Source organism: Homo sapiens, chromosome 8, assembly GCF_000001405.40.
Source record: "Homo sapiens chromosome 8, GRCh38.p14 Primary Assembly".
NCBI classification, from domain to species: Eukaryota; Metazoa; Chordata; class Mammalia; order Primates; family Hominidae; genus Homo; species Homo sapiens.
In genome coordinates, this window is record NC_000008.11 from 92558834 (window position 1) to 92571417 (window position 12584).

General features: G+C 36.6%; 1 long non-coding RNA gene across 1 annotated transcript in view; it reads right to left on the reverse strand.

Moving 5' to 3' along the window:
* Nucleotides 1–6609: 6609 nt before the first annotated feature.
* Nucleotides 6610–12584, reverse strand: part of LOC102724710 (uncharacterized) — a 90052-nt gene continuing 84077 nt past the window's right edge. Inside the window, exons 4-5 of the long non-coding RNA NR_125827.1 lie at nucleotides 10170–10233; nucleotides 6610–6737 (exon numbers count right to left, since the gene is read on the reverse strand). This is a non-coding gene — a long non-coding RNA (uncharacterized LOC102724710). The remainder of the gene's footprint in view (nucleotides 6738–10169; nucleotides 10234–12584) is intronic.

Genomic DNA, 12584 nt, shown 5'->3' on the forward strand with positions numbered 1-12584 from the left:
CTGCTTGCCCTGGCCAGAACTTCCAACACTATGTTGAATAGGAGTGGTGAGAGAGGGCATACCTGTCTTGTGCCAGTTTTCAAAGGGAATGTTTCCAGTTTTTGCCCATTCAGTATGATATTGGCTGTGGGTTTGTGATAAATGGCTCTTATTATTTTGAGATACATTCCATCAATACCTAGCTTATTGAGAGTTTTTAGCATGAAGGGCTGTTGAATTTTGTCAAAGGCCTTTTCCGCATCTATTGAGATAATCATGTGGTCTTTGGTTCTGTTTATGTGATGGATTACGTTAATTGGTTTGTGTATGTTGAACCAACCTTGCATCCCAGGGATGAAGCTGACTTGATCGTGGTGGATAAGCTTTTTGATGTGCTGCTGGATTCAGTTTGCCAGTATTTTATTGAGGATTTTCGCATAGATTTTCATCAGGGATATTGGTCTAAAATCCTCCTTTTTTGTGTGTCTTTGCCATGCTTTGGTATCAGGATGATGCTGGCCTCATAAAATGAGTTAGGGAGGATTCCCTCTTTTTCTATAGATTGGAATAGTTTCAGAAGGAATGGTACCAGGTCCTCTTTGTACCTCTGATAGAATTCGGCTATGAAACCATCTGGTCCTGGACTTTTTTTGCTTGGTAGGCTATTAATTATTGACTCAATCTCAGAGCCTGTTATTGGTCTATTCAGAAATTCAACTTCTTCCTGGTTTAGTCTTGGGAGGGTGTATGTGTCGAGGAATTTATCCATTTCTTCTAGATTTTCTAGTTTATTTGCATAGAGGTGTTTATAGTATTCTCTGATGGTAGTTTGTATTTCTGTGGGATCAGTGGTGATATCCCCTTTATCATTTTTTATTGCGTGTATTTGATTCTTCTCTCTTTTATTCCTTACTAGTTTTGCTAGTGGTCTATCAATTTTGTTGATCTTTTCAAAAAACTACCTCCTGGATTCATTGATTTTTTGAAGGGTTTTTTATGTCTCTATATCCTTCAGTTCTGCTCTGATCTTAGTTATTTCTTGCCTTCTGCTAGCTTTTGAATGTGTTTGCTCTTGCTTCTCTAGTTCTTTTAATTGTGATGTTAGCGTGTTGATTTTAGATCTTTCCTGCTTTCTATTGTGGTCATTTAGTGCTATAAATTTCCCTCTACATACTGCTTTAAATGTGTCCCAGACATTCTGGTAGGTTGTGTCTTTTTCCTCATTGGTTTCAAAGAACATCTTTATTTCTGCCTTCATTTCGTTATGTACCCAGTAGTCATTCAGGAGCAGGTTGTTCAGGTTCCATGTAGTTGTGTGGTTTTGAGTGAGTTTCTTAATCCTGAGTTCTAATTTGATTGCACTGTGGTCTGAGAGACAGTTTGTTGTGATTTCTATTCTTTTACATTTGCTGAGGAGTGCTTTACTTCCAACTAAGTGGTCAATTTTGGAATAAGTGTGATGTGGTGCTGAGAAGAATGTATATTCCATTGATTTGGGGTGGAGAGTTCTGTAGATGTCTATTAGATCTGCTTGGTGCAGAGCTGTGTTGAAGTCCTGAATATCCTTGTTAACCTTTTGTCTCATTGATCTGTCTTAGGTTGACAGTGGGGTGTTAAAGTCTCCCATTATTATTGTGTGGGAGTCTAAGTCTCTTTGTAGGTCTCTAAGGACTTGCTTTATGAATCTGGGTGCTCCTGTATTGGGTGCATATATATTTAGGACATTAAGTTCTTCTTGTTGAATTGATAACTTTACCATTATGTAATGGCCTTCTTTGTCTCTTTTGATCTTTGTTGGTTTAAAGTCTGTTTTATCCAAGACTAGGATTGCAGCCCCTGCTTTTCTTTGCTTTCCATTTTGCTTGGTAGATCTTCCTCCATCCCTTTATTTTGAGTCTGTGTGTGTCTCCGCACATGAGACCTGAATACAGCACACTGATGGGTCTTGACTGTCCAATTTGCCAGTCTGTGTCTTTTAATTGGGGCATTTAGCCCATTTACATTTAAGGTTAATATTATTATGTGTGAATTTGATCCTGTCACTTTGATGTTAGCTGGTTATTTTGCCTGTTAGTTGATGCAGTTTCTTCCTAGCATCGATGGTCTTTACAGTTTGGCATGTTTTTGCAGTGGCTGGTACCCGTTGTTTCTTTCCATGTTTAGTGCTTCCTCCAGGAGCTCTTGTAATGCAGGCTTGGTGGTGACAAAATCTCTCAGCATTTGCTTGTCTGTAAAGGATTTTATTTCTCCTTCACTTTTGAAGTTTAGTTTGTCTGGATATGAAATTCTAGGTTGAAAATTCTTTTCTTTAAGAATGTTGAATATTGGCCCCCACTCTCTTCTGGCTTGTAGAGTTTCTGCTGAGAAATCCACTGTTAGTCTGATGGGCTTCCCTTTGTGGGTAACCCAACCTTTCTCTCTGGCTGCCCTTAACATTTTTTCCTTCATTTCAACCTTGGTGAATCTGACAATTATGTGGTGTCTTGGGGTTGCTCTTCTTGAGGAATATCTTTGTGGTGTTCTCTGTATTTCCTAAATTTGAATGTTGACCTGCCTTGCTAGGTTGGGGAAGTTCTCCTGGATAATATCCTGAAGAGTGTTTTCCAACTTGGTTCCATTCTCCCCATCACTTTCAGGTACCTAAATCAAATGTAGATTTGGTCTTTTCACATAGTCCCATATTTCTTGGAGGCTTTGTTCATTTCTTTTTACTCTTTTTTCTCTAAACTTCTCTTCTTGTTTTGTTTCATTGATTTGATCTTCAATCACTGATACCCTTTCTTCCACTTGATCGAACCGGCTACTGAAGCTTGTGCATGCATCACGTTGTTCTCGTGCTATGGTTTTCAGCTCCATCAGGTCATTTAAGGTCTTCTCTGCACTGTTTATTCTAGCTAGCCATCCATCTAATCTTTTTTTCAAGGTTTTTAGCTTCCTTGCTATGGGTTTCAACATCCTCCTTTAGCTCGGAGAAGTTTGAAATTATCGACCTTCTAAGGCCTACTTGTGTCAACTTGTCAAGTCATTCTCCTTCCAGCTTTGTTTCGTTGCCAGCGAGGAGCTGCAATTCTTCAGAGGAGAAGAGGCACTCTGGTTTTTAGAATTTTCAGTTTTTCTGCTCTGGTTTCTCCCCATCTTTGTGGTTTTATCTACCTTTGGTCTTTGATGTTGGTGACCTAGAGATGGGGTTTTGGTGTGGATGTCTTTTTTCTTGATGTTGGTGCTATTCCTTTCTGTTTGTTAGTTTTCCTTCTAACCATTTGGTCCCTCAACTGCAGGTCTGTTGGAGTTTGCTGGAGGTCCATTCCAGACACTGTTTGCCTGGGTATTACCAGCGGAGGCTTCAGAACAGCAAATATTGCAGAACAGCAAACATTGCTGCCTGACCTTTCCTTTGGAAGCTTCGTCCCAGAGGGGCACCCACCTGTATGAGGTGTCAGTCAGCACCTACTGGGAGGTGTCTCCCAGATAGGCTACATGAGGGGTCAGGGACCCACTTGAGGAGGCAGTCTGACTGTTTTCAGAGCTCAAACACCATGCTGGGAGAACCACTCGTTTCTTCAGAGCTGTCAGACAGGGACATTTAAGTCTGCAGAAGTTTCTGTTGCCCTTTTTTCGGCTATGCCCTGCCCCCAGAGGTGGAGTCAACAGAGGCAGCAGGCCTTGGTGAGCTGCAGTGGGCTCCACCCAGTTCGAGCTTCCCAGGCTGCTTTGTTTACCTAATCAAGCCTCAGCAATGGTGGACAACCCGCCCCCTGCCAAGCTGCTGCCTTGCAGATTGATCTCAGACTGCTGCACTAGCAGTGAGCAAGGCTCTGTGGGTGTGGGACCTGCCGAGCTAGGTGCAGGATATAATCTCCTGGTGTGCCATTTGCTAAGATCATTGGAAAAGCCAGTATTCAGGTGAGAATGTCCCATTTTTCCAGGTCATGGCTTCCCTTGGCTAGGAAAGGGAAATCTCCAACCCCTTGTGCTTCCCAGGTGAGGTGATGCTCTGCCCTGCTTCAGCTCGCCCTCCGTGGGCTGCACCCGCTTTCCAACCAGTTCCAGTGAGATGAACCAGGTACCTCAGTTGGAATTGCAGAAATCACCCATCTTCTGGGTCTATCACGCTGGGAGCTGCAGACCGGAGCTGTTCCTATTCGGCCATCTTGGAGCAGACCTTGAATAAGTATTTCTTTACTTTGTGCTTAAGTCTACATTATTATATTCCCCACCTGTTGGTCCAGTTCTGTTTAATAGCAATGCTTTATGGTTTTAGAGTATTTGACAGTTTCATCATGTGCTTTTACATCATCACATTAGGATTTACTGAACTTTGTCATATGGTTTCCCTTGGCCACCTTCCGTTCTTCATTGGCCTTATAATAGATTAGAATTAGAAATAGAGATGACTTAAGGTGGTTACAGTAGGATTAAGTTGCAATTGTCAATCAAGGAGGAAACAAGGAATATTAAGCACAAAAGCACAGATATCTGAAGCCATTCAGTGTGGGGGAAAGGAGCAAGCATCTAAATGTTAATTACACTATTATACTTCTGTATAATATAATTGATGTGCATAATGATGACCCTACTTATTCAAAAAAGCCATTAAAGTATATAGATATTCTGTTTTCTAAAGCAGAAACTTTTTAAAAGCTAAGATTGAGCAACAAAATATGTTTTATGAGTAGACTTGGAGGTAAAAATCCAGTACAGTCCAGTACAGAAGGCAGAAAAGTAGAATTTTTCTTGGTGTGGTAGTGGAGATAAAGACTCTAACTACACCCATCTAACTTGATAAAGACCTAATTTGACATCCCTGTTGCACAGGAAGTGTCATCCGGAACCTTAGAAAATGATGCAGAGCAAAGCATAAGATTAATTTTATTTTCAGAAAATAAACATCAAAATATTTAAAATACAGTTTGGTGTATTAAGGGGTATATTATCTGGGGAAAAATCTCTCCTACAGAAAATTGTAGTCCTTCACAATTTTGGATAAATAAGGTTTAACTCCTTTTTTAAAAGTAGGAAATTTTCTCAAATGTCATTTTTAATTATTATAGAACAATTTTACTGACATTCACAGAAGCATAACTTTCATGGGAGAACCTCAAATAAAATTCCTTTATTCCCACCTCATAAAACATTCTTCCTGTGCAAAGTATATCCCTATCTAAGAAGTATGCATTACCGGTCTCTTGAAACACATTGTCAGCTAATATCAGAACATTTTGCCCTAGTTACTAGCTTTTAAATGTCTTCTTTGTTCATGAACTTAAAAGCAGGTCTAATAAATATGAGTTTTCAAGCAAAGAACAAAGAATTAAGTAGTAAACTAGGAATTACAAATTAAAATTAAGGGTGATATCGGTATAGACAAAAAGAAAAATTAATTGATTGATAAAGATCCTCAGGGCTTCCAAAGAAGTCCAGTCAGTCAGCATGACACACATACAAGTTTTACAAACATAATTTCTTTTTTTTATTACCTAGGAACATTAGGATTTACTTTCTTGACTGTAATAATTGTGTGCAGTTAATTATAAATGAAACAAAAGTGTTGGTAATATTAGAGGCTTGTACTCTGCATAAAACTGGAAATTACTGCTATTACTCTTGGTTGCTAGAGAATATTAGGTCATAGATGCTAATTAGCAGTTCATAGCCCTCCTACAGGGGGGAAATCTCATTACCATATGAAACTGTGTTGGTTGCCAAACCCAACACTCACAGCACTCTGACCATTTTTGTTTGAACAATTATAAGGTATGATAAAACTAAAGATCAGCTTTGCTGTGTGTGAGCAGGACCATGAAGGCTAATATACACAGTCTCATATTTGCTCACTAGTTTAAGAAAAACAGCCATATTACACTTTGAGCCACACAGTCGGTGTGTGGGAACTGATTAAAAACAAAAAGACAGAAGTTTTCATCATTACAAAGCACAAACAACAGCATCTCCCACTAAAAATATGCTCTCAAAACAACAAAAAAAGAAGAAACAAAAGTATTGTGGGATGGGAGAGAAATTGAAATGGTTCTAGGACCTCTCTAATAGTTAATTTATTATATAGGTTCATATATATGCATACACACACTCACACACATGACCAGCCCTGACTCTATCTATATTTGTATTTATACAAATACATATAGCTTATGTATCTATATCAGGTAGATAGATAGATGATAGATAGATGATAGAGTCTTTTTAACATAGTCCAATACTTTAAAAAGATGATATTTCTTTGGCTTATTTTGGTACTTTGTTTTTTTTAAAGAGAATTTAGAAGCTATAATTTATTACAGTATTTCCATTTATTCCAATGTACATGTACTTTTATTGACACACAATCATTTGAAGAAAGGTATTGTAAGAAGGAGGAACATATTAAAACTACAACCTGAATTTAGTTATTTCTACTATAGCAAGAGAAATTAGATAATGCATAAATCCTGGCTTCTTAGTCAAATTAGGTTTTATATTGAAATATAAACTACATTTGTAGTGAAAAAGAATATTAAATTCTTTATATTTATATCCTGGGATACACATGGCCATGCACACCAATATATATACACAAACACTAGTGGCTGAAGAAGTGTCCTTAATGAGTGAGACAAGAAACTTAGGAATAAATCAGAGCCACAGGAATATACAGATTCTTTATTTCTAAAAAGGTACGTTCATTTCTGGTCAGTGTAATGACATGCCCCACTTTTAATTGGCTTCTTTTCTCTTCCCAGAAATGGTATATCCATTTTCACCTGTGGAAGTAAAAGTAATTAAAGGAGCAATAACTTGTAAAAATTGGAAGAGTAAATCTTTCTCCTCTGTATTGTATCAAAGGTTCCACGTGCTATAAAATGCCTTTGCCCTCCTCCTAAGCTCTTGCCAAGGCTTAAACATAGTCTAGAATCCAATATAAATGGACTCTGAGTTCATTCCACAAAGGAGAGAAAGAATTGGGGCTCTGGTGAGAATTAGTGAGGAAGACAAACCAACTCTGTCCTGAATCAGCAGGAGACAAGAGATGGGAGGAAGGAGAAAGCTAGCAGCATCTTGTTTTAATTTACACACTTCAACCTTATGAGAAGAGAATTATCTTCTTGGATGTCTTGAACTGAATCAAATCTCTGTTATGTGCGTCTTACTGCCAAATATTCTGACCCATCGTCCCCATGAAAGCACTTTAGATTGTGCTACAACTTCTGCTTGAAAATATGCTGCTGCTGAGATGGCTTGTGGCCATCAGCTATGGGCACCTGCCAGTAGAATATGGGAATGTCAGTATTTCATTTTGTTTTATTTCATAGTAATACATGTCAATTGAAAAAAATCATTAGAAAATTCAGTAGGGGAAAATATCTCAATTTCTATAACAGAAATAATTTTATATTTTGTTAACATTTTGTTCTGTGTTTGCCTGCCTCTACGTATCTGTCTGTCTATAAACAACTATTGCAACAGCTTATATTTGTAATTTGTTTTTTACAGTATTTTCAAACTTTGGTCCTCACAAAAATGTGGGGCGTAAGAATCCTATACAATTGTATGCTTGTGTGTGTATGTGTGTGTGTGTGTGTGTGTGTGTTATTTATCATCCTACTCTAACAATTGTCCCACCTGTTCCATCAAAAGCAAAGGTTAATTACATTTCTGTGGAGCTATCCAGCAGAAGGCTACTTTTCTCTCACTAAATTACAGCAAGAGTAAATTAGAGGTTTTCAGAACTTCAGAGTTTTGATTGATGAATTCATTAATTCACCTTTTCAAAGGAAGTGCTCATGTTTTAAATATTTTATGTACAATTTGCATGTTGGCATTTTTAAGAGCTTTTATAAAAATTAGACAGTGCTTAAGAGAAAAGTCAAACTTATCACTTGGAGCCCGGATGCCTTTGTAATGCACAGAGCAAGAGGCAGGGTTAAGTCTTCCTTGTCTTTCTCTCCCCTGAAAATTAGTCTGTCCTGGGCAGCTCCTTCGGCTGCTTGTATTGTTCCTTTAAATATGGTTAAACAGATATTAGAGTTCCATTACCCAAAGTGAGATTCTCTTTGCCTCAGGGTAGATATGGACACTATCCAACAGAGGTTTGGCTTTTATTTCACCTTGCATATCTACATTAGCAAATACATGAAAATGGCATTTCTATTGTCCAAATGAAACCTTTCCATCCAAGTTTTATGCACTTTAATATATTCTACATCCAGTCATTGATGCACAGGTATCTCTCTACACTTGCAAGACAACCATAGGTGCCTGTGAACTCTGCTTCTGACAGATAGTCTTGCAGTCATTGAACTAATTATCTCTGATTTAAGGAAACATGAATCATTTATATACACATAATGTGACATCAGATAAATAGTAAAAGAAGTAGTAGAAACTGGATGTAATAATCAGTGCCATTGTTTTTTTCTCTCACTAAAGCTTCCAATGTAATACTCTATGCCCCCTCAACACCCCCAATACCTTTTAACTTATTTGGGCTACTTTTGAGAATTCATGAAAAAACAAAGCAATTACAAAAGATTTGTTCAGTTTTTTCCTCAGTTGACCAGAGTTAACCCTGATTTTTAAAAAAATAGAGATAGAGCAAAAGAAAGGTGGGCAATCAACATGATTCGTTGATGGTGTGCAAAATTACCATTTAGTCTTCCATCTAAGATCAGATGGGGTAGACAGAAATGGGTATGCAGATACACATCCTGGCACAAATTCCAAGACAAGTCATATAAAACAGATTTTATTTAAAAACATCTTACAAATAAAAGAGGAGTCTTATTTTAATCCCCTACCTGATTAATGCAACCGCAACCCAAATTGGTTCACACATGCAGAATATTAAGCAGGGATCAAGTGTAACGACTTAGGTTTTCAGGACATTGAAGAAAGAACTGTTAATGTTTATGGAGTTTCATCCTTATTAAAATCTGAGGCAATATTTATGCCTTTCTCTGTTGGTGAGTCCATCCTATTGCTGCACACAACGGTGTGTTCTTGGCCTCATTCTCAGTCCTTAATTTGTACTTGAAAAATATGTACATGTTGAGCCAGAAGCTTGCAGTGCCTAAGGTAACTCTCTAATAAATTAGGCACTTGAGAAAACAGAATTAACCCCTTCACCAAGAGTTCTGCATAGAGACCCACTTCGCTTTACATAATGCATTGTCTGAAAATTTAACTCGACCAAAAAGGTAATTAGAATTTACTGTAATTTTACATACAGCATAACATTTTTAATGTTTACGAAACTGCTTTTATTTATAAAAACTTTTTTTTTCCAAATAATTTTCTAGGAATTTGTCTACTGGGCAAAGCTACATACTTATAAAATGAAAAATATCTGTCCTGGGGAGAAAAATCAACTATGTTTCCCAAACGTGCCCCATACTGTTTTTAATCCACAACATTAATATAATTCACACCTGAGGCATTAGAAGGCTAATCATTAATTGCAAAAGGAGTGTTTAAAGCAAAGTTCTATGTGTCTTATCGATATGCCTATTTTATTTTAATTAAGAAAAACTAAATTATTGGGTTATTGAAAGTGCTGCATTTCTACTTTTCTTTTAAAGGTTGAAGATAGTCCATACTTTCCTTCATGTTCTCTCTTTAATTCAAATGACTGAATGTTCTTTGAAAATATTGGCTTCACGTGCAACTAATCTAAGTTGTTTATAACCTTAGTGTGTTTGAGTCACACTTTTAATACTTAAATGTTTGGCAGAATACTTGAAGAGCTAAAAGACTCAAAACAACACTGAACAAATCAGTAATAATTACAATACAATTATAATTACAGAACAACAACATAGCAGAATGTCTCTACAAGCATTCTAATTGCACACTTCACTTGGTTACCCTTTTGCACCATGCTGAGTTTTTCAGTAGGGCCATCTCTAACCCCAATCCCTTTAAAATACTCATGAAGCAAAGTTCTTTCGTGTTCCAGCAAATTTGCAGCAAGTTATATATATCACTCTATCTCTTCAACCTTCTGATGGAAACTTCTACAATTACTATATCAACATAGGTATAGTAAAGAAAAGCTTTGCCCATTGAGCTCAATCTGATGTTTACATTAGAAATGTTGTGGGAATAAACATTGTGTCTTAGGAATCTAAGTGACTCTCTGACCTAGTCAACCTCTTGAGAAACCTCAAAATTCTTAACTTCTGAATGAGCATATTTACCTTACACAGTCACAAGCCTTCTTCTCTGCTGGGTTGGGTGAAGACAGTGGGTGAGAATTCAATCCTGTAAAGAATTTCATGAGATGTTGAAATTTCGGCAGATAACTTTTTCACTGGACAAAATCTTGCCACTCGGTCATCCTTCCCTGTTTCTATGTTATATACCACCACCCTGCTTTCTCCTTTATGTCAAGTTTTTATTCCTTATAGCACTTTTATAGGCTAATAATCATGTGTTGTATTTATTCTCACATGTTCCTTTTTAAACTAAGTCTAATTTGTCCTTCTTTTGTTGTCATGACATCTGCCCCCTCACAGACTGTTGAACCCATGTAAAATAAGATCATTTGCCAGGTGCAAGTAAACTTGTGCTCCCACATCCCCTGCAAAAAGAAAGTCTTTTTTCCAAATTTCTTCAATATTATGGTTACCAAACATAGTCACATTAAAAATATCAGTTCAAGGATGACATAATAGCAAGATTTTGAAGACCATTTTTTACGGTAGGTGCATGCATTTTTCATATCTTGGAGTTTCCTTTCTGTTCAGCATAAAACTGAATATTCTTTGGTGTAAGAATATAAACCAGACTTACATGTGTCACCAAATTAAACATTCACTGCTCAATTCTGAATTTGCTAAGAGAGGAAATTTTAGCCTAGAATCATAACACACAAGTTAACAAATTCAACTTGCATCTCAGTAAATACTTCTTGTGTCACAGACATGATATGATGCATTTCTAAGAAGCAAATGTAAAGGGAAATTATAGTTTAAAAATCAGTGTTTCAAATATGTGAAATTTAAAATTGGAAACATTTAACAACCATCCATTTAGGATAGTTTCAATGGTCTTTGGATTTAGTTTTACCAATAGAAAAAAAAGTTGTGGTAAAAAATTCTCAAGGTTAGAAACATACCTTGGCATGACAACACAAGGCAAAATATATAACGTTATCTACAGCTTCTGAATTTTAAGCCCAACAATGACATGTACATGTTACTATGGGTAAGTCACTTTACCAGTCAAAATTTGCTCTTTCCATCGCTAAATTGTGGTGATGAAACCCAAATGTCCACCCACATTTCAGAGGATCAAAGTGACTTAATGCACATGAATAGGCCTTAAAATCACAATCAGCATGCAAATACAAACGATTACTATTATTCAGCAATAAAATTAATGCATATCAAAAAATACTCATGTGGGGTTGTATTTCAATATACCAATTCTGTTAAAATACAGATTCCTTTTAAAGTCATAGCTTGGACACATTTATTGGGGCTTCATTTTATTTGATAGCATTGCCCTTTCACAACATTGTGAAATGTTTTATTCACTTGAATTAGTTTTGAAACAGTTAAGTGTTCATTAAAAGAAACAAAATATGCCTGAAAATATATACATGTATCTACCTATGTTTGCATACATTTAAAATACACCGTTTTCAAAACTCACTACATTCAAAATTTGGGGTTTGTAGCTACAACTTCTGTAGTTCTGAATAGTAATATAAATTATTGTTTTGCCTTTTATATAATTGATAATTCTAAATACTAGAAACAAAACTATAGTCGAATTTTATTATTTGCTGTAGATATGTGTTTTATAAAGTCACTGGCAACACTGAATTGGCAAATACGGAACCATTGCTTCTAGGGGAAATAGGTTAGATTTCATCAACCCATGAATACGTAACCTTGTTTTATGTGTCTTTCTGTTTAAATAACCCTTATTTAATATCTATTGTTGATTCATTAACTCATGCCTGAACGAAGCTTATCTAACACACACATTTTCTCCGTGAGGCACATTGTCGCAACCTTCTTGCGCTTAAAAACAATAGACAATACTTCAGCACTATACATGAGGGCCATTTTAAACTGTAAAACCCCCACCACAAACACAAAATTACAAAAAAAAAAAGTGGCACAAAATAGACTGTGAAGAGGACAGTGGTACACAGTATGAGAACTGAAGCAAGAGGGCAGAGCTTTGTCTTGCTCTGCTTCAGCTGGGAAGGGGCACAAAGGTTGAGTCCAGTTTTTCACCACTCTGCACAAATCTGCAAAAGCACCATGAGTATCATTACGAATAAATTTTGTAAGTAAATTATAGATAAATTTTACAAATAAAGTTACAAATAAATTTTAAAGAGTAGCCAAATTTGAAATCTTCAAATGAAGATTGAATATATCTTCTAAGAAGTTCACAGGATTCTGAGGTTGAACAAAATTAGCGACTTATTGGTTCATCCTGTGTGAACCAATTGGTTCACACCAATTGGTTCACACCAATTGGTTCATCCTGTGTGAACCTGCTCTTTGGTAGGGAGCATCGAATACGCTGGAAGCAGAGCTGTAAAGTCAGTACTCACCACTTAAGATTTAGTGTCTGTTTTTCCCCGTAAGTCT